At 42.1% G+C, this 22,670-nt stretch overlaps 1 protein-coding gene across 4 annotated transcripts in view, besides 2 other annotated features; it reads left to right on the forward strand.

The window, feature by feature from the left end:
- The window catches only part of SCN8A (sodium voltage-gated channel alpha subunit 8), a 221,632-nt gene that overhangs the window by 51,488 nt on the left and 147,474 nt on the right, over positions 1-22,670 (forward strand). For all 4 annotated transcript variants that reach the window (NM_014191.4, NM_001177984.3, NM_001330260.2 and 1 more), the window contains exon 2: positions 20,044-20,373. In NM_014191.4, the coding sequence (NP_055006.1) occupies positions 20,098-20,373 (276 nt within the window). In that variant the 5' untranslated portion in view covers positions 20,044-20,097. The remainder of the gene's footprint in view (positions 1-20,043; positions 20,374-22,670) is intronic.
- Positions 2,702-3,588: an enhancer, noted in NCBI's record as "NANOG-H3K27ac-H3K4me1 hESC enhancer chr12:52039206-52040092 (GRCh37/hg19 assembly coordinates)". NCBI's record gives its function as "activates a minimal SCP1, AML or CMV promoter by ChIP-STARR-seq in primed H9 embryonic stem cells {active_cell/tissue: H9 hESC(primed)}" and the evidence as "EXISTENCE:reporter gene assay evidence [ECO:0000049][PMID:30033119]".
- Positions 20,017-20,599: an enhancer, noted in NCBI's record as "SCN8A eExon fragment used in the reporter construct". NCBI's record gives its function as "activates a pGL4.23 vector minimal promoter by reporter assays in HepG2 cells and mouse liver" and the evidence as "EXISTENCE:reporter gene assay evidence [ECO:0000049][PMID:25340400]".

Genomic DNA, 22,670 nt, shown 5'->3' on the forward strand with positions numbered 1-22,670 from the left:
GGCCTTCCCATCGTTTTTGCCTCTTCTGCTTGCAGTCACCTTATTTGAGCACCACTACAGCTACTTGGGTAACCCATCTTCTCTTCCCCTGTAAAACTTCATGGAAGTGTGAGTGATGCTTCTGAATTTGGTCAGTAGGATATCCTCCAGTAACCATTTAGTGGGTCTGCTCTTCGGCCTGTTAGCGATTGATTCAGCAAATGAAGAGCAAAAAGCACACAAGCCTGACATGGCCTTTGTGATGCCTGTATCCAGACCTCTTAGCCACACTGAAGGCTGGGTGGCCTCACAGCTTTTGATTTGGAGTTTGATACTGCTTTAATGCCCTATTGTTTAACCCAGTTTCACAGTAATCTTTTTTGGTCATTGAAGCAACCTGAGTGTTCCCTGAGTAGCAAAACTTCATGCGAGCTGTCAGTTCTCTTGTTGTCATTAGAAGTCTTCATCTTGTTTTCAGAGCTTCTTTGGAGTAGGAAAGAACTTGATCTTAGTCATTGTCAAAGATGTCATGGTACGGGGAAACCATGTGGACTTTGGAGAGAGGCTGCTCCCAATGTGATCCTAGGAATTCCTGTATTTTCTTCGAGTTCGAGTCTCGCTTTCTTTCCTCACTTGTAAAATGAAGCTGTCAATGCCTGCCTAATTAGGTTGTTATGAAGATTAAATGTAATGTTTATAGAGTGCCTGTATATATTATTATAACGTTCATAGGTATTACACCTGCTTTGCAGACAGGCCCATAACCACTTTGATGTATCTTCTTTACTTCTGTGTATTTGGGCATGTCTATTTCAAGAGAACTTTATTAATAATTAACTCCAGATCTATATTGTTGAAAGAATTGCCATTGAATTCTGGAGTTGAAAGAGAGCCAATTGTTATTTTGTATAATAGTTTAGAGCCATCCTTATACTCTGCAGGAGAGGAATGAGGTGGACTTGAGGCTCATTCCTGCTTCAACCAGAGCAGAAATACTTTTGTCTATATTATATATTGACATTTCGTGTAAGATATGATTTGAAAAAGACTTCCACTGATTGAAAACAAAAAAACTTTAAAATTTTAATGCAACTTTCTTCCTGTCCAACACAGAAATCTATTTTCCAACATGACAGACAGATAATGACTTAGGAGAGTGTATCCTGATACCAGGTTTAAATTCTAAGCTTTCCAATGCCTGGAATGTAGTAGACACTCAAGACGTTCTCATTGAATGGATAAATTCTTGGTCATTGTTGTGTTAAGGGTCAACTGAATAGTGCTGGACCTTTGTTCTAGCCTGTGTGTGTGCATTTTCATTACTTTATTCAACACATAATTATTTGATGATAGATTTTGAGTCAGGATATTATTCCTTCTGATTTAAGCCTCTATGTTTTTTGAATCTTGGTAATCCTGTCAGAGAAACCAACTTTGCTTAGTCTGTCAGATTCCAGGAGAGCTCATTAGTTAAGTGTTATGATCTCATAGGGCTGGAAGGGATCTTAGAAGGGATGCAGGGAAGGGAAAGAGTGCTGATCACAAGAAGTAGTGTGGTGAAGTTGTTAAGAACACAGACCTTGGGGCCAAACAGCTTGGGTTTGAATCCCACTGTGGGACGTAGAGCAAAGTTACTTAACCTCTTTATGCCTCAGTTTTCTCATCAGTGGTATGGGATAAGAACAATAACTACCTCAGAGGGTTGTTGGAAGCATCAAAAGAATTATATATAAAGCTATTAGAACTGTGTCTAGCAGGTAGTTAGTGGTCCATATTAAAAACAATTATTGGAAGTATTATTAAGACCTACTTCAGACGGAGTCTCGTTCACTCAGTGCTCAATGGTGCCCAGGCTGGAGTGCAGTGGCGTGATCTCGGCTCGCTACAACCTCCACCTCCCAGCAGCCTGCCTTGGCCTCCCAAAGTGCCGAGATTGCAGCCTCTGCCCGGCCGCCACCCCGTCTGGGAAGTGAGGAGCGTCTCCGCCTGGCCGCCCATCGTCTGGGATGTGAGGGGCCCCTCTGCCTGGCTGCCCAGTCTGGAAAGTGAGGAGCGTCTCTGCCCGGCCGCCATCCCATCTAGGAAGTGAGGAGCACCTCTTCCCGGCCGCCATCACATCTGGGAAGTGAGGAGCATCTCTGCCCGGCCACCCCGTCTGAGAAGTGAGGAGACCCTCTGCCTGGCAACCGCCCCGTCTGAGAAGTGAGGAGACCCTCCGCCCGGCAGCCGCCCTGTCTGAGAAGTGAGGAGCCCCTCCGCCCAGCAGCCACCCCGTCTGGGAAGTGAGGAGCATCTCCGCCCGGCAGCCACCTCGTCTGGGAGGGAGGTGGGGGGGTCAGCCCCCCACCCGGCCAGCCGCCCCGTCCGGGAGGGAGGTGGGGGGATCAGCCCCCCGCCCGGCCAGCCGCCCCGTCTGGCAGGTGAGGGGCGCCTCTGCCCGGCCGCCCCTACTGGGAAGTGAGGAGCCCCTCTGCCCGGCCAGCCGCCCTGTCCGGGAGGGAGGTGGGGGGGTCAGCCCCCCGCCCGGCCAGCCGCCCCATCCGGGAAGTGAGGGGCGCCTCTGCCCAGCCGCCCCTACTGGGAAGTGAGGAGCCCCTCTGCCCGGCCAGCCGCCCCGTCCAGGAGGGAGGTGGGGGGGTTCAGCCCCCCGTCTGGCCAGCTGCCCCGTCCGGGAGGTGAGGGGCGCCTCTGCCCGGCCGCGCCTACTGGGAAGTGAGGAGCCCCTCTGCCCGGCCACCACCCTGTCTGGGAGGTGTACCCAACAGCTCATTGAGAACGGGCCATGATGACAATGGCGGTTTTGTAGAATAGAAAGGGGGGAAAGGTGGGGAAAAGATTGAGAAATCGGATGGTTGCCGTGTCTGTGTAGAAAGAGGTAGACATGGGAGACTTTTCATTTTGTTCTGTACTAAGAAAAATTCTGCCTTGGGATCCTGTTGATCGGTGACCTTACCCCCAACCCTGTGCTCTCTGAAACATGTGCTGTATCCACTCAGGGTTGAATGGATTAAGGGCGGTGCAAGATGTGCTTTGTTAAACAGATGCTTGAAGGCAGCATGCTCCTTAAGAGTCATCACCACTCCCTAATCTCAAGTACCCAGGGACACAAACACTGCGGAAGGCCTCAGGGTCCTCTGCCTAGGAAAACCAGAGACCTTTGTTCACTTGTTTATCTGCTGACCTTCCCTCCACTATTGTCCTGTGACCCTGCCAAATCCCCCTCTGCGAGAAACACCCAAGAATGATCAATTAAAAAAAAAAAAAAATAATAATAAAATAAAATTAAATAAAAATAAAATAAGATAAAAGTAAAAAAAAAAAAAAAAGACCTACTTCATATGTATCAGCTCATTTAACCCTCAAATGAGGAAATGGTGGCCCCCAGGAACACATTCAGGAACACATTAGTCTACAGGATGCCACTAATGGATTTTAACCAAGGAAGTTAATTTATCAGAATTATATCTTAAAAGTCACTCTTGGGACAGGTAGACTGAAAAGGAATGAAACTGGAGGCAGTGAGACCAGTTAGACGGTTGCTATGGTAACTATACAAGAAGTAGAGAGGCTTTTTCTGGAAAGAGTTAGATGGTAAATATTTCAGGCGTTGTGGGCCACACAGCCTTTTGCAACTACTCAGCTCTGCTGTTGTAACACAGAAGCAGCCACAGACAATACTTACATAAATATGGCTGCATTCTAGTAAAACTTGACTTACAGTGTTTCAGTATTGGATGACAAGATTTGAAGATGGATGGTGCCAATGACAGTACAACAATGTGAATGTATTCCATGCCATGGAACTGTATACTTAAAAATGGCTAAAATGGTAAATTGTATATTATGTATATTTTACCACAAAAAAACTTTGCGAGAAGAAATGAAACACTTTTCAGTTTTAGAACAATGGGCAGGAAAAATTGTTTGCATCATAACTTGAATCAAGGAAACTGGTGAAGAAAATGAGAATAGGTGTGGAGGCAACAGTTAGAGACTACAAAGGGTTTTCTGTTTGCGATATAAAGGGAAAGGCTCTTGTGCCTTGTGGAAGAAATAAAAGAAACATGGAAAGCAAGTTAAATTTGAAGAAAAAATAGGTGATGGGGGAATGGGGAGGTAAAGTAGAGGACAGCTTTGAGTTGTAGTGTCTGCAGGGCCAGGGAGATGGAAGCGGATACTAGTAGCTTGGTAGCTATATGGATGTATGTACAAGGTGGAAACCTGTCTTCATTTTGGACTGATGGAACTTGCTCAGAGAAGCTTTGGGATACATTTATAATAATTGTAATCATTGGATTGACTTCATTAAATAGGATCCATTCTTAAGAATCTTTCTTAGTGTTTTTAGATTAAAATATCTAAGTACTAACTTGGTGGCATGCACCAGTAGTCCCGGCCACTTGGGAGGCTGAGGCAGGAGGATTGCTTGAGCCCAGGAGTTTAAGTCCAGCCTGGGCAACACAGTGGGACCCCATCTCTGAATTAAAGGAAAAAAAAATATCCAAGTACTCAAAGTGTAAGTGCTTCACAAGTATCTCCTGATAGTTACTTATGGATAATCATACATTTATATCCACACTAGGCCTCTGTCAAAGTATTCTATGAACAGATCCTTCAAAGGGTTTCTGGGGGGAAGACATACATGTAAGTCAACCAAGAGTGACTATCTCAAAAGGATTAGGAAGAGACCAGTTCTTGAGAATCAGAGGCAAATAGCTCAGCTTTGGGTAAATTGGGTGGAGTGAGACGTAGGAAGGAAAGACTTCAGAAGTGGCCTCACTAGGTGGAAATCCAGGGAGACAGATGAATGCACGGGCAGTTCCCCATTAACATGGTTGCAGACATTCACCAGGCTGACGAGGTCCCTGAGACCTGGTAGGAGGGAGAGCAGATCTTGATGTTATCAAGAGAGGCTGAAGACTGCAGTTTTTAATGTTTAAAATGATTAAAACTAAGCTTTGACAAAATTGTTTTTATTTCAATTTCTAGAACTGTTATAGATTTTCCAAAGTGAAATCTGTAAGTAACAAAGTAGAAAATTGGCAGCGTAGCATCTCGTTGTCATTGGAGAAGGGAGGAGCCCAGGGAGTGGGGACAGTGTAAACCATCCATCTGGCTGCATTTTTCTCTTCTCCTATGATAAGAGCCACCCACCTTCCTCCCAGTGCAGAGCTGCTCCTCTGGCTAATTCCAAATGAGCTATATATCAACATGCAAAGAGCTGTCTCGCAGTCCTCAGAGTCTAGCTATAGTTCTGTACCAAGCTTCTTATCTTCTTTTGCTTCTTGCTATTAAATCTTTCCCTTGAGGAGCAAAGATGGTGGCGTGAGGTGTGCTGCTGCAAACTGGCCTCTGGGGAGGAGAAGGGTGGGGGCCACTGACTCATGGGAGGCCAAATACATCTACAGGATTGGGGGAGGTTCTTTATCACAGGAAGAATTTTTTTCATAACCTTTAGATGCTTTTACATTCATCTCAAAAACAAAATTCTGAACTCAGAACTTGGAAAAGATAGAGTCTCACTATGTTGCCCAAAGGCTGAAGAGCAGTGGTTATTCACAGGTGTGACCATGGCACACTGAGGTCTCAAACTCCTGGCCTCAAGAAACCCTCCTGCCTCAGCCTCCTCAGTAGCTGGGACTATAGGCATGCCACCACCCTTGGTGTGTAAATGTGTCTCTATGTAGTCTCCTAGAGTGGGTAGTCCTGTTTCTTTTATTAAGCCACTTTCTCTATTCTTGAAATGTGGATGTATTAGTCCGTTTTTACACTGCTGATAAAGACATACCTGAGACTGGGAAGAAAAAGAGGTTTAATTGGACTCACAGTTCCATATGGCTGGGGAGGCCTCAGAATCATGGCAGGAGGCGAAAGGCAATTCTTACATGGCAGCAGCAAGAGAAAATGAAAAGATGCAAAAGCGGAAACCCTTGATAAAACCACTAGATCTCGTGAGACTTATTCTCTACCACAAGAACAGTATGGGGGAAACCACCTCCATGATTCAAATTATCTCCCACCAGGTCCCTCCCACAACACGTGGGAATCATGGGAGTACAATTCAAGATGAGATTTGGGTGGAGACACAGCTAAACCTTATCATTCCACCCCTGGCCCCTCCAAATCTCATGTCCTCACATTTCAAAACCAATCATGCCTTCCCAACAGTCCCCCAAAGTCTTAACTCATTTCAGCATTAACCCAGAAGTCCACAGTCCAAAGTCTCATCTGAGATGAGGCCAGTCCCTTTTGCCTATGAGCCTGTAAAATCAAAAGCAAGCTAGTTACTTCCTAGATACAATTGGGGGTACAGGTATTGGGTAAATACAGCTGTTCCAAATGGGAGAAATTGGCCAAAACAAAGGGGTTATATAGGGCCCATGCAAGTCCGAAATCCAGCGGGGCAGTCAAATTTTAAAGCTCCCAAGTGATCTCCTTTGACTCAAGGCCTCATGTCCATGTCACACTGATGCAATAGGTGGGTTCCCATGGTTTTGGGCTGCTCCACCCTTGTGGTTTTGCAGGGTACAGCCTTCTTCCCAGCTGCTTTCACAGGCTGGCATCGTGTGTCTGTCTTTTCCAAGCGAACAATGCAATTGGTCGGTAGATCTACCATTCTGGGGTCTGGAGGACGGTGGCCCTCTTCTCACAGCTCCACTAGGCATTGCCCCAGTAGGGATTCTGTCTGAGGGCTCCAACCCCACATTTCCCCTCTACACTGCCCTAGCAGAGGTTCTCCATAAGCGTCCTGCCCCACAGCAAACTTCTGCCTGGGCATCCCGGCATTTCCTTACATCTTCTTAAATCTAGGCAGAGGTTCCCAAACCCCAGTTCTTGACTTCTGTGCCCTCGCAGGCTCAACACCACATGGAAGCTGCCAAGTCTTGGAGCTTGCACCCTCTGAAGCCTTGGCCCGAGCTCTACATTGGCCCCTCTCAGCCACAGATGGAGCAGCTGGGACGCAGGGCACCAAGTCCCTAGACTGCACACAGCATGGGGACCCTGGGCCCAGCTCACAAAATTATTTTCTCCTAGGCCTCTGGGCCTGTGATGGGAGGGGCTGCTATGAAGAACTCTGACATGCCCTGGAGACATTTTCCCCATTGTCTTGGAGATTAACATTCGCTCCTGATTCCTTATGCAAATTTCTGCAGCCAGCTTGTATTTCTCCTCAGAAAATGGGTTTTTCTTTTCTATCACATGGACAGGCTGCAAATTTTCCAAATTTTTACTCTCAGCTTCCCTTATAAAACTGAATGCCTTTAACAGCATCCAAGTCACCTCTTGAATGCTTTGCTGCTTAGAAATTTCTTCTGCCAGATACCCTAAATCATCTCTCTCAAGTTCAAAGTTCCACAGATCTCTAGGGCAAGGGTAAAATGCCACCAGTCTCTTTGCTAAAACGTAGCAAGAGTCACCTTTGCTGCAGTTCCCAACAAGTTCCTCATCTCTGTCTGAGACCACCTCAGCCTGGACCTTATTGTCCATATCACCATCAGGCCTCTGGTCAAAGCCATTCAACAAGTCTCTAGGAAGCTCCAAACTTTCCCACATTTTCCTGTCTTCTTCTGAGCCCTCCAAACTGCTCCCATCTCTGCCTGTTATCAAATTCCAAAGTTGCTTCCATGTTTTCAGGTATCTTTTCAGCAATGCCCCACTCTACTGGTGCCAATTTACTGTATTAGTCCGTTTTCATGCTGCTGATAAAGACATACCCAAGACTGGGAAGAAAAAGAGGTTTAATTTGACTTACAGTTCCACATGGCTGAGGAGGCCTCACGATCATGGCGGGAGGCAAAAGGCACTCTTTTTTTTTTTTTTTTTTTTTGAGACAGAATCTTGCACTGTCGCCCAAGCTGCAGTGCAGTGGTGTGATCTTGTTGGGAGCAGGCCCCCCAAAATCTGGCCATAAACTGGCCCCAAAACTGGCCATAAACAAAATCTCTGCAGCACTGTGACATGTTCATGATGGCAATAAAGCCCATGCTGGATGGTTGTGGGTTTACCGGAATGAGGGCAAGGAACACCTGGCCCACCCCACATTGGGCACCACTTGCCGAGACCAGCTCGGTCGGGGAGACCCTAACCCAGCGGTGCTAGAGGAATTAAAGACATACACACAGAAATATAGAAGTGTGAAGTGGGAAATCAGGGGTCTCATAGCCTTCAGAGCTGAGAGCCCCAAACAGAGATTTACCCATGTATTTATTAACAGCAAGCCAGTCATTAGCGTTGTTTCTATAGATATTAAATTAACTAAAAGTATCCCTTATGGGAAATGAAGGGATAGGCCGAATTAAAGGAATAGGTTGGGCTAGTTAACTGCAGCAGCAGCATGTCCTTAAGGCACAGATTGCTCATGCTATTGTTTGTGGTTTAAGAATGCCTTTAAGCGGTTTTCCACCCTGGGCGGGCCAGGTGTTCCTTGCTCTCATTCCCGTAAACCCACAACCTTCCAGCTTGGGCTTTATGGCCATCATAAACATCTCACAGTGCTGCAGAGATTTTGTTTATGGCCAGTTTTGGGGCCAGTTTATGGCCAGATTTTGGGGGGCCTGCTCCCAACAGATCTCGGCCTGCTGCAACCTCCACCTGCTGGGATCAAGTGATTCTCCTGCCTCAGCTTCCTGAGTAGCTGGGGTTACAGGCACCCGCTACCACGCCTGGCTAATTTTTCATATTTTTAGTAGAGATGGGGTTTCTCTATGTTGGCCAGGCTGGTCTTGAACTCCTAACCTCGTGATCCATCCACCTCGGCCTCCCAAAGTGCTGGGATTACAGGCATGAGCCACTGGGCCTGGCTGGCACTTCTTACATGGCAGCAGCAAGAGAAAATGAAAAGATGCAAAAGCAGAAACCCCTGATAAAACCATCAGATCTCAGGAGACTTATTCACTACTATGAGAACAGTATGGGGGAAACCGCCCCCATGATTCAAATTATCTTCCACCTGGTCATTCCCACAACGTGGGAATTATGAGAGTACAATTCAAGATGAGATTTGGGTGGGGACACAGCCAAACCATATCAGTGGATATCTCTTCTCTACATATTACCTCTATGATTTGGAAGAGGCCACTTTTCTTTTTGTTCCACCTCCCAGATTCAACACTGAGAGCTCCTAGGATTGCAGTTATCCTGCCAATTTCTCCAGGGAAGAAAGAAGCAGCTGACATGGGTCTTCTGCTACTACTTAATTAATTATAAAGAAACTATTTTTTAAGCTGAAGCTGATGTTTCACTTGAAACAGGTGCTTAGCTGGTGGTATTTGTGAATTCTTGACTTTTTGTTCCAAACAAGAAGACTAAATAAATAGCAAGTATGGATGAGAAAAAAAATCATTCCCTTGAGCTTCAGAAGCACATATCCTTGCCTATATGATGCCTCCATTTGGAGGTACCAAAGCACCTCAGACTCAGCATGTTCAAAAGTAGTCGTCATCTTAATCTGAACACTCTGCATCACATCTTATTCCTTGTCTCGGTGAATTTCACTACCTTTCATCCCTTTGCTCATGATTTGGGTGTCTTCCTTGATTTTTCTTATATCTTACCTTCCTCTTTTAGTCAGTCAACAAAACTGTCCAGTACATCATCCCTGCTGCTGCTGCCTGGCTTAGGCTGTCATCTCTCAGTGGAATTGCTACAATAGTCTTCTTCCTGGTCTTCCTCACTCTGATCTTATTCCTCCCTCGTCTCATTCTATACACTATAGCTAGAATAACCTTCCTAAAATGTAACTTTGATCAAATCATTTTCTACTTTGAAGCTTTCATTATCTCCTTATTGCCTTCAGAATAAAAGCAAAACTCCTTCCCATGAGAGCAGGGCTTTGCGTTCCTGATGTGGTACTTGATTACCTGTTAGCTGATTTTCTGAAATCCACTTACACTGAACTGCTTGCAGTACCCAAGTGGCTTGATCTCTCTTGTCTGTAGTCTCTTAAATATGCTATTTCTTCTTCCTGCAAAGCTCTACCCATTTTCTTCCCATAACCCACCCTACCAGCCCATCTGTGGGCTTTAGCTAAGATGTTACTTTCTCCAGGAAGCTTTCCTTGATCTCTCCAAACTTGGTTAGATGTCTTGCTTGTATATTCTGTAAAAGCCTGTTTTACTTTATTGGAAGATTTACCATACTGTACTTTGCCTGTTTACCTGTCTACTACCTCAGAAGACTATAAGGTCCTTTGAAGGCAGGAGTGAGCTATTATTCATCAGAGTATCATTTATGGCATATGTTGGGGGGCATAGTAAATTTTTTTCTCTCTTTTAAAAAAGATTGTAGTAAAATATCCATAACATTTACCATCATAACCATTTTTAAATATATAAACTGGGCCAAGCGAGGTGGCTCACGCCTGTAATCCCAGCACTTTGGGAGGCCGAGGTGAGTGGATCATCTGAGGTCAGGAGTTTGAGACCAGCCTGACCAACAAGGTGAAACCCAGTCTCTACTAAAAATACAAAAATTAGCTGGGTGTGGTGGCAGGCACCTGTAGTCCCAGCTACTTGGGAGGCTGAGACAGGAGAATTGCTTGAACCTGGGAGGCGGAGGTTGCAGTGAGCCGAGATCATTTATAAACTTTTTCATCATCCCAAACTGAAACTCTGTACCAACTAAATAGTAACTTCTCATTCCCACACAGCCCCTGATTACCCCTATTCTGCTTTCTGTCTTTATGCATTTGACTATTTTTGGTACCTCATATAAGTGGAATCATACAATATTTGTCCTTTTGTATCTTGTTTATTTCACCTAGCATTTTTTCAAGATTCCTCCATGTTGTAGCATGTGTCAGGATTTCTTGCCTTTTTAAGCTACATAAATATTTCATTATGTGTATATTTCACATTTTGTTTATTCATTCATCCATTTGTTTATCTCATAGACATTTGGGTTGTTTCCACCTTTTGGCAGTTGTGACTAATGCTGCTAAGAACATGTGTGTACAAATATCTTTTTGAGTTCCTGCTTTCAGTTCTTTTGGAATTGCTGGATCTTATGGTAATCCTATGCTTAATTTTTTTGAGGAACTGCAGTAATGTTTTCTATAGCAGCTGCACCATTTTCCTTTACCACCAGCAGAGCACTAGAGTCTGAATTTCTCAACATCCTCACCCATACTTGTTATTTTCTGTGTGTATGTGTTTTTAGGTAAGAAATTTTGTTTGTGTTTTAATATTAGACATCCTAATGGGTATGAAGTGGTATCTAATTGTGATTTTGATTCATATTACCTAATGATTAATGATGCTGAACATCTTTTCATGTGCTTATTGGTCATTTTTATATCTGTTTTTGGAGAAAAGTCTATTCAAGTCTTTTGTCTATTTTTAACTGGGTTTTGTTGTTGTTGAGTTTTAGGAGTTCTTTATATATTCTGGGTATTAATTCTATCACAGATACAATTTGCAAATATTTTCTCTCATTCTCTGAGTTGCCCTTTCACTCTCTTGATAGTATCCTTTGAGCAACAAAAGCTTTTCATTTTAATAAAGTTCCATTTATCTATTTTTTCTTTTATTGCCTATGCTTTTGGTGTCATGTCTAAGAAATCATTGACAGATCCAATGTTATGAAGCTTTTCCTCTATATTTTCTTCTAAGAGTTTTATAGTTTTAGCTCTGACATTTAGGTCTTTGATCCATTTTGAGTTAATTTTTGTGTATGGTATAAGGTAAGGATCCAACTTCGTTCTTTTGCAAGTGAATATCCAGTTTTGCCAGCAACATTTGTTAAAAAGATTGTTTTCCCCATTGAATGGTCTTGGTTCCCTTGTCAAAAATCATTTGACCATATATGTGAGGGTTTATTTCTGGGCTCTTTAATCTATTCCATTAGTCTATATGTCTGTCTTTATGCCAGTACCACATTGTTTTGATTACTATAGATTTGCAGTAAGTTTTGATATCAGGAAATGTGAGTCCTCCAACTTTGTTTTTTTTCAAGTATGAGACAAGATCTTTTTAATTTTCCCCTTAAATCTTTTGTAGATATGGGGTCTCACTATAGTTGACCAGGCTGGCCTTGAACACCTGGCCTCAAGCAGTCTTCCTGCTTTGGCCTCCCAAAATGCTGAGATTGCAAGTGTGAGCCACTGCACCCAGCCTGAGACAAGACCTTAGTGCTACTTGCTACCTTTTATTTGATCTTCCTTCCAACATATTTTTTTGTGTGTTCTAGCATAAAGTGTTTGCTTTATTTATGTATTTATTGAGACAGAGACTCACTCTGTCACCCAGGCTGGAGTGCAGTAGCATGATCTCAGCTCACTGCAACCTCCACCTCCCAGGTTCAAGCGATTCTGGTGCTTTAGCTACCCAAGTAGTTTGGATTACAGGCATGTACACCACGCCCAGCTAATTTTTGTATTTTTAGTACAGATGGGTTTTTGCTGTGTCGGCCAGGCTGGTTTCGAACTCCTGGCCTCAAATGATCTGCCTGGCTCAGCCCCCCATAGTGCTGGGATTACAGCACTTTGTAAGGCATGAGCTACTGCACCTGGCCCTGGAGTGTTTGCTTTAACAGCCCCTCCTAGATGACTTCTCTTCCTTTCATTCCTGTTATAACCGCATTTCAATACTGGTTTTCTTTTCCTCTTTCATGCCGTATCCCTTAATTTGGATTCTACTTTGTTTGTTTTCAGGCCACAGTTGGCATTTTAAGGTCTTTTTTTTTTTTCTTTTTTAGAGACAGGTTTAGACACAAGAGTTGTGTCACCCAGGCTGTAGTGCAGTGGCACCATCATGGTTCACTGTAGCTTCTAACTCCTGGGCTCAAGTGATCCTCCCATCTCAGCCTCCCCAGCAGCTGGGACCACCAGGGGGACCCAGATAAATTTTTTTACTTTTTGTAGAGATGGTATCTTCCTATGTTGCCCAGGCTGGTATCAAACTTCTGGCCTCAAGCGATCTTCCCATCTAAGCCTCCCAAAGCACTAGGATTACAGGCATGAGTCACTGTGGCTGGTTGCATTTTAAGGTCTTAATCCTCCTGGACAACCAAAAGAAGAGAGCTCTACCCATTTGTTTGTCCGTATCTTTGAGTCTAGTTCAATCTCTTTTAGAACTGCCAGAGCCAAAAGTTGCTTTTGTTGTTGCTTTATCATCTGGGCTGCCTGTGTCATCTTTAGCACTGCAGGAAGATGCACAATGATATAGTAGTGGTATGATGGACAAGGTCATTGACTTAGAGATTGGGTGTTTTAGTGAAAAGAACATTATATTGGAAGCCAAGAAATGTGGGTCATAGCTTTGCATCTGTCACTAATTGGCAGTTAGACAATTCAGCCTCTCTTATATAACTTATGGATGAAGCAAATTGAACTAGGTGGTCTCTAAGTTCCTTCTAAATCTAACAAGTTTGTTACTGTGCAAGATGACTTCCTCAGAAACAGAAGACATTTAAGCTTGTTTTAATGGATGAATAGAACTTAGGTAAGAAAGAAAGATGTCAGGAGGTTTAAAATAAGGAAATGAAAATATTTTTAGGAGTCAGTGAAAGTAACAGTGACCAGACATTTTATTAAGTGATGCTGGGTCAATTATATAACCACAGGAAAAAAATGAACCTTGTCCTCCACTTCACACCATATGTAAAAATCAGTTCATATGGTTTTCAAAACTAAATGAGAAAGGTAAAATAATAAAGATTGTAAAACAAAGGAGAATACCTACATGGCCTTGGAATAGGCACAGATTTCCTAGAATAAAAAAGTACTAACATGAAGGAAAAGACTGATAGATTGGATTTCAATTAAATTAAGAACTACAGTTTATCAAATGACACCATTAAGACAGGTGAAAGAGAGGAAATATTTGAAATATTATATCTGACAAATGACTTCAATGGAGAATACACAAAGAACTCCTACAAACTAGTAAGAAAAATGCAGTTTAACCCAATAGGAAAAAGTGAGCAAAGACTTAAATCAGCACTTCACAAAGGAGGATGTCTAAATGGCCAATCAACCTTTGAGAAAGTGCTCAGTATCATCAGACAAATACAAATTTAGACAAGAGTGAGCCAACAAACATGAGAAAATGCATCAGTATCATTAGGGAAGTGCAAATCAAAACCACAGTGAGGTACCACTTTACACCCATTAGGATGGCAGCAATTAAAAAAAAAAGGTAAGAAAAAGGAAAGTAACAAGTGTTGGCAAGGATATGGAGAAATTGTAACCTTCTTATATTGCTGTTGGGAATACAAAATGGTTCAGCCACAAAATGCAAAATAGTTCAGGAAAACAGTTTGGCAGTTCCTCAAAAAAGTTAAATGTAGAATTACCAATTCCACTCCTAGGTATAGACTCAAAGGAATTGAAAATAGGTACTAAAATAAGTACATGTGTGTGCACTGTTCATAGTAGTCGAAAGGTAGAAAGAATTCAATGTCCATCAACAGATGAATGTGTAAACAAATTGTGGTATATACATTTCTGGGATATATATTTTGGGGTTTTTTTGGTTTTATTGTTATTTTTAATTGGCACATAATATGTGGTACAGTGTGATATTTTGATACATGTATACAATGTGTGTAATGATCAAATTAGGGTAATTGGCATATCCATCTCAAATATTTATCATTTCTTTGTATTAGGAACATTCAAAATCCACTTTTCTAGCAATTTAATCCACTTTTCAAAATCCACTTTTCTAGCGTTTCCCTGATGATAAGTGATGAGCATTTTTACATATACGTTTTGGCCATTTATATGTCTTGTTTTGAGAGATGCCTATTCAGTTCATTTGCCTATGTTTTAATTGAATTATTTAGTCTTTTGCTGTTGTTTGAGTTCCTTATATATTCTGGATATTAATCCCTTGTCAGAGGAATAGTTCACAAATATTTTCTCCCATTCTACTGGTTGTCTCTTCACTCTGCTGATTGTTTCCTTTGCTGTGCAGAAGCTTTTTAGTTTGATATAATCCCATTTGTCTATTTTTGCCTGTGTTTCCTGTGCTTTTGAGGTCTTCTCCATAAAATCTTTGCCCAGACCAATGTCCTGAAGTGTTTCTCCTATGTTTTCTTCTAGTAGTTTCATACTTACATGTAAGTCCTTAATTCATTTTGAGTTGATTTTTGTATGTGGTGAGAGATAGGGTTCCAGTTTCATTCTTCTGCATATGGTTATCCAGTTTTCCCGGCACCATTTATTGAAGAAATTATCCCTCCCCAATGAATGTTCTTGGTGCCTTTGTCAAAATTCAGTTGGCTATTAATATGTGGATTTAATTCTGTGTTTTCTATTCTTTTCCATTGGTCTGTGTGTCTTTTTATGCTAATACCATGTTGTTCTGGATACTGTATCTTTGTAGTATATTTTGAAATCCAATAGTGTGATAACTCCAGCTTTGTTCCTTTTGCTCAGGATTACTTTGGCTTTTCAAGGTCTTTTGTGGTTCCATAGAAATTTTAGGATTGTTTTTTCTATTTCTGTGAATAATTTCATTGGTATTTTGATAAGGATTGTATTGAACCTGTAGATGGCTTTTGGTAGTATGGTTATTTTCACAATATTAATTCTTGCAGTTCATGAACATGGGATGTCTTTCCACTTTTTTTCGTGATCTTTGATTTTTCATCAGTGTTTTAGTTTTCCTGGGGAGATCTTTCACCTTCCTGGTTAAATTTATTCCTAGGTCTTACTATTTTTTTGGTGGCTATTATAATTGGGATTGCTTTCTTGATATCTTTTTCTGCTAGTTTGTTGTGGATGTATAGAAATGCTACTGATTTTTGTACGTTGATTCTGTACCCTGCATGAAATACCATAGAAAGGAATGAAGTACTGATACATGCTACATTATGGATGAGCCTTGAGAACACTATGCTAAGTGAAAGAAGTCAGACACAAAGGCTCACATATTGTGTGAGTCCATTTATATGAAACATCTAGAATAGATAAATCAGTAGAGAGAGAATGAAGACTGATAGTTACTAGGAGCTGATGGCAAAGGGTGGAGGCTGAAGGTTGGGAATGGAGAGAAACTGCTTATGTTTTAGAACTAGATAACTGGTAGTGTGAATGTACTAATTGCCACTGAATTGTTCACCTTAAAGTGGTTAATTTTATGTTATGTAAATTTCATCCCAATAAATTACTTTTTTAAAAAATACGAGATGCTGCTATACCCACCAGAGTGGGTAAAATTCAGAAGACTGTCATTCCAAGTGTTGATGAGGATTTGGAACAACTGGAACCCTCTTATATTGCTGGTAGGAATATTACTAAAGCTAAATATCTGCCATTCTCTGACCCAGCATTCCACTCCTAGCTATATGCCAAAAAGAAATAAAGGTATGGCTACCAAAAGACACCTACAAGAAGGCTCTTAGCAGCTTTTATTCATAATAGCTTAAAACTATAAACAACTTAGATGCCCATCAAGGTAGAATGGATAAATTGTACTACATTCATACATGGAATACTATGCAGAATGAACTACTGCTACACATATAAGAAGATGAATTTCACAGAAATAGTGTTGGGTGAAAGAAGCCAGAACCCAAAGAGTATGTTTATAGTCTACTTATATGAGGTTCAGGTAGAAGCAAAACTAATATATGGTGATAACTGTCAGAATAGCTTTTGCTAGGGGTGGTTATTGATGGCTCATGAGAGCTGTCTGGGATGCTGAAAGTAAATTTTCTACATCTTGATTTCAGTGGTGGTTACACAGGCACATACATATGTACAAAATAAGCTGTGCACTTAAGGTTTGCATACTTTATTGCTTTATTGTATTATACCTTCAAAAAATTTAAAACTCAGAATACAGTTACCAGCGCAGGTGTTCTTGCAGAGAAGCCATAGAAGAGAATGTTTATGATGCATACGGTTGTAGAATGCCTTGAGTGGCAGTGAAATGGCAGAAATTTGGAATCTGTCCTATAACTGGTAAGTTTGAGGGAGGGAAATGACTTAATGAAAGCAGATTTTTAGGGAAATGGATCCTTGGAAATATGCCTGGTGGACTGAGGGCTGGTCCACTAGTGGGGAGACTACTGCAGTAGGACCTGAATTAGGGCAATACTATTGAAAATGGAAGCTCTTAAGGAAGAGCAATTGGAAAGGCTGATGACTGGTTGGGTATGGATAGCAAAAGGGGACTTGGCAGAGATAACTGAGATTCCATGCTGGATGGCTGGTCCAGAAATAAGAAAGCCAGGAAGAAGAATCAGTTTTGGAGTAAGATGAATAGTTTTTAAATGCTTTAGTTTGAAAGTCATAGCAGGCCACTAGAGACAGCTGTGGGACTCAGGAGAACAATCAGGGCCAGTGAGAGAAATCTGAAAATTACCAATGTACAAATTATTTTGAATAAATGAGATCCCTAAAAGACTGTAACAGAGAAATTTCAGAAGGCCAGCCCTTAGAGAAGGAAGAGTTGATGAGGAAGAGGAGACTGCAGCTGTAGTTCAACCAGGATAACATAGTGTCACTTAAGCCAAACAAAGAGAGTGGGGGTGGAGATGTAAAGGGAGAAGATACAGGAAAAGGTACAATTGAAGATGGGATGAAGAGCAGGGGTAATCGAGAGGACACAGTCTTGGAGAAGACAGGAAGAAACAGGATCTGAAAGCAAAGACAGAGAACTTAGCCCTGGGCTGCTGTGAAGAACCCAGGTGCCTGCAATTAGATCACAAGAATTTGTCAGCATCTTCAGTGACTTACTCTTGCAGTGTTCTTTGTCCTCTGCGTAGGAACAGAGAGTGACCTAGGATTGAGAATGAGTGTGAATGTAGGAGCCAAGGAGTCTTCATGCATTTGGTCTCATTATGGGTTTCAGGCATAATCTTATTCACTGTGAAAGGGATACAAAAGAAGTTTAAGACCTCTGGGAATTTATTCTCTAAAAGGTACAATTCAGCAATGATTAAGTGCCAAAACAAGTTTATTTAGTGTGTTTCAAATCTTCTTCTGGCTCTATAACTTTGGGCAAGCTACATTAGTTTTCTCTGACTCTGTTTCTTTATCTGTTAAGTGGTGATAATAATATCTGCCTCATATGCTGCTCTGGAGATTGAACGAGTTAATACCAGCAAGGTGCTTGGAATAATGCTTGAAACATAGTATGTGATAAATGTTAGCTAAGGTCATGGTGGAGTGCTGTAGGAGTGTAGAAAGGGAAATAATTAGTCAAGGCTGAGTTGGTGGGAAGACTGTGGAGGAGTAGGGATTTATTGGGGGGCAATGCAAGGATGGGTAGGAGAAGAATGAAGGAAAAGGAATTTTAGGTTGGGGAAAGCATTGTAACTAGTCTTAGATCAGTAAAGCCATAACATCTATGTGATTTACTTACTAAACAAAACTATTCCTGTTAGGGAGTAGTGGGACATAGCAAAGGAGGATAAATAACTGATATTTATTATAATGAAAGAAGTTCTGAGATGGGGCACCAGAGCATTTTGGTTGTGATTTTTATCCTGGCCCTGTGACTCAGGGCAAGTTGTCTGATGTCTTAGGACCCCACCTTTCCTCATCTAAAATCAAATGGACTAAATTTGTAAAATCCTTACAGCTCTGAATTCCTTAGATAATTCCTACATGGAAATGATTTCTCTGACCCCACTGTCTGTAGGATGGTGGTGGTTTTTGCGCAGCGTGAAGCCAACTGGTCTATGTGGGGCAAACTTGTGGTTATGGCCTCTTTAGCCCCCTGCTGTGAGTGAGCAAGCTGACCGGCCCTCATACAGACACTACACACTGTCTTGCAACACTTAGCAATCACCACTGCTCCAGAGATCTGGAATCTCAGCAGGTGGATTTGTGGAAGGAGCTCTTGGGTATCTCATTCCCAACTTATTTAGAGTTAACTCTACTACTGTTCTCTTGAGGAGCCTCAAGGTTTAGTTGCCTTGAAGTGGACCTTGAGGGCTAAGCAAAAGGGGAAAGAACAATCTTTAGTCTTAAAAAAAAAATTCCTGGATTGTTCTTATGGTGTTCACAAAACTAAAGAGAAAAAAGCAGTACCATGAGCACCCAATGAACTGCCAGCAAAGCCCTAAGCCTTTCACAGTAAACTTACCTGCTCAGGTCATTTTGTGCTTGAAACTGAATACTGCTGCTTTTGAAACCAGGGATTGATTCCTCCATTTTACTGCATGTGTTTAAATAATCCAGGACTCTTATAAACATAAATGGAAAATGAGCTTTTCAAATACCATGCTTAGAAATCATTGGCTCTCATAAGACATTACTTCAGTTTTCTTTTTAGAAGGGAATTTTTGTTTGCAACTGTTCTCACGTCTCCGTCCTTCCTGGTTTGAGCCCCTCTCAGGAGTCGCACGCAGGCCCTTCTGCTGCTGCTCTGCCTGCAGTGCTGCAGTGCTGTTGCATCAGAGGAAGTTCTCTAGGATTCCACTCCCATTTGCTTTTTCTAGTTGCTAAGCAGGTGGCACTTAGAACAGTATCTGCCCTCTGAGCTTGATGGTTGAAGAAGATACTTTTGGACTTTTATGCTGGATGGATTTTACACAACTTGATGATTGAAAAATAACTTGAAATGGAAGAACTAAAGCAGATGGAAGCGATTTTATCTATATTTTGTGTCTCCAAAGTTTGAAGGGTTTATTTTGTTTTCAGAAACTGAAATTTGAGAAGAATGACAATTTATCCTCATCTTGCCCTTGAAAGGAAGAGTTTTTCTTTGGGGAGTGGAGCTTTAGGAAAGGAAGGTGACTTGAACTGTAAGGACTTCACAGCTAATATATGCCCCTGGGTAATGTTACATAGTCCTTATTTGTTTAGAATAGAAGTTCCTTGAGGGAGTAGAATATATCCTTTTTGTCATATGTGGTTCCTAATAGTGAGTTGCATCTGAGTGAATATAATAAATAACTAGCAATTCAGGAGACTCCTGATCTTTGATCTCCCTTGGCAGATCAGTCCATGCCACAGATTTCCTGAAAAGAAAAATAAGCATGTCATGGAAGAAACTATGTGTTTTTTTTGCAAAGGTTGTGAATTAAGGTTGAGAGTGAGATGGTTTAGTCTGGCCTCTTTTTAGAGCAGTGATTGATTAATGCTGTCTGTGTTGCTGTTTCTTCCAGAGCTGACCTGTCCTGGACGCAGCATAACTAACGAAGCTGCTGCAGGATGAGAAGATGGCAGCGCGGCTGCTTGCACCACCAGGCCCTGATAGTTTCAAGCCTTTCACCCCTGAGTCACTGGCAAACATTGAGAGGCGCATTGCTGAGAGCAAGCTCAAGAAACCACCAAAGGCCGATGGCAGTCATCGGGAGGACGATGAGGACAGCAAGCCCAAGCCAAACAGCGACCTGGAAGCAGGGAAGAGTTTGCCTTTCATCTACGGGGACATCCCCCAAGGCCTGGTTGCAGTTCCCCTGGAGGACTTTGACCCATACTATTTGACGCAGAAAGTGAGTTGGAGGAGGAGGAGCAGCTGCAGATACCTGTTTCCTAACAGGCTTAGGGAGATGGGGGAGAAAGAACTGTGTCTCTTTGCCAAAGTTTGGATAAGTAGTTAACCTTTTGTTTCAGTTCTGGCTTGTGGGGATTATTTTTCATTTTAATTGCTACTAAGGGTCATTTGTGGTCTTGGCACTCATCAACTCTATTAATAAGACTTCTGATTTTGGCTCCAGGCCAGATCAGAAAAAGGGGATGTAAATGAAATGGGACTATTTAAAAGAGTCTTTAAAAGATGGGATAGTAAAAGATAGTACAGCCTCCCTCTCTCAAACACACATTCAAAATTCTATCTTTAATATAAAGATGTTGTTACTATTGTGACATCAGTAGAGTAGTGTGGTGGAGATGGTGTATTTGCTCTCTTGTCTAGCTCCCTTTGTGACATTAGAGCATAGCTGCTGGGGACAGGAATAAAACTGAGTAAAGCAAACAGCCAATGAGGACAGACCCAGGTCATTGGCCCTGTTACACAGTTGTCTGGATTGATTCTTCCAGCACTGATTCTTGCAGTAGAGTCAATTCTGTTATTCATGCAAGTAGGGAGCTCAAGTGAAAGAACTACTAATCTTCATTTGGCCAAGAGTTTCAAACTTCCTGAACAAATATTTGACTAAATCTTCAGCTACTTTCTCATGATTATCTTCTGAAACAAGGCACCAAGTAGAGAAACAAAGCCTCCTGGGTGATCCACCAGCTAAATAATTGAATCTTGAGGACTGGCATCAGACACCGTTTTAGGGAACCCCTCATTTGACAGATTTTTTTTTTTTTTTTTTTTTTTTGAGATGGAGTCTTGCTCTGTCGCCCAGGCTGGAGTGCAGTGGCGTGATCTCAGCTCACTGCAACCTCCGCCTCCTGGTTTCAAGCAATTCTCCTGCCTCACTCTCCTGCGTAGCTGGGACTACAGGCTCAGAGCAGCTACGTAATAGAAAAAAGTGGAACCATTAGTCTGTTCTTTCACTGGGAAATCTAGAAAGTTTAATGAACAAAATGATATGATGTAAAGAACGGTAGATTGGAAGTAAGAAATCCTGATTCTACCATAATTTACCATGTTTATTATTTACTTTTTTTTTTTTTGAGACAGAGTCTCGCACTGTTGCCCAGACAGGAGTGCAGTGGTGCGGTCTCAGCTCACTGCGACCTCTGCTTCCTGGGTTCAAGCGATTCTGCTGCCTCAGCCTCCTGAGTAGCTGGGACTACAGGCGCCCACCACCACACTCAGCTAATTTTTGTATTTTTAGTAGAGATGGGATTTCACCATGTTGGCCAAGCTGGTCTCAAACTCCTGACCTCAAGTGATTCACCCGCCTCAGCCTTCCAAAATGCTGGGATTACAGGTGTGAGCCATCGCACCTGGCCTTATTATTTACATTTTTATTTTTTAGTAAATGTATTGTCCAAGCTACCACAGATAATTTATGGGGAAATAAATGAAGAAAAAAACCTTCTCAAAACTAGTTTGTAATTTTCGGCAAGACACTTCATCTCTCTGGACCTAAACTATTTTTTCCAACTCAAATGCAAATTAATTTCTCATTTTCTTTTTGTTTTATAGTTTTTATTTTTTATTTTTCCTTTAACTTGTATTTTAAGTTCAGGGGTACATGTGCAGGATGTGCAGGTTTGTTACATAGGTAAATGTGGGCCATGGTGATTTGCTGCACAGATCATCCCATCACCTAGGTATTAAGCCCGGCATCTATTAACTATTCTTCCTGATGCTCTCCCTCCCCCCATTCCCTACCTCTGACAGGCCCCGATGTGTGTTGATCCCTCCCATGTGTCCATGTGTTCTCATGATTCAGCTCCCACTTATAAGTAAGAATGTGTGGTGTTTGGTTTTCTGTTCCTGTGTTAGTTTGCTGAGGATAATGGCTTCCAGCACCATCCATGTCCCTGCAAAGGACATGATCTCATTTCTAATTTCTCATTTTCTTAAACCTGACAGGAGATATGAAAAAATATATAGAGCTAATAGTTGTTAGAGCCCAATTTTCCTTTGCATACTCTTTTTCCCTGGTTCCTGCTCTATAGACAGCCTCTTTCCATTCCCAATGCCTCAGATTTCAGTGGCCTGGCTTGAGAGTGGGGACTTACCAAAGAGAGTGGGTCTCTGGACCTGATGGGTGTCATTCATTGGATAGGCCAAATTGTTCTTGATGGTGCTCCATTAGAAGACTGATTCTTCATGGTAGAAATTCTGACTTCAGCCTTCGGCTTCATCACAAGGGTAAATTGTTCC

The sequence above is a fragment of the Homo sapiens genome, chromosome 12 (assembly GCF_000001405.40).
Source record: "Homo sapiens chromosome 12, GRCh38.p14 Primary Assembly".
NCBI classification, from domain to species: Eukaryota; Metazoa; Chordata; class Mammalia; order Primates; family Hominidae; genus Homo; species Homo sapiens.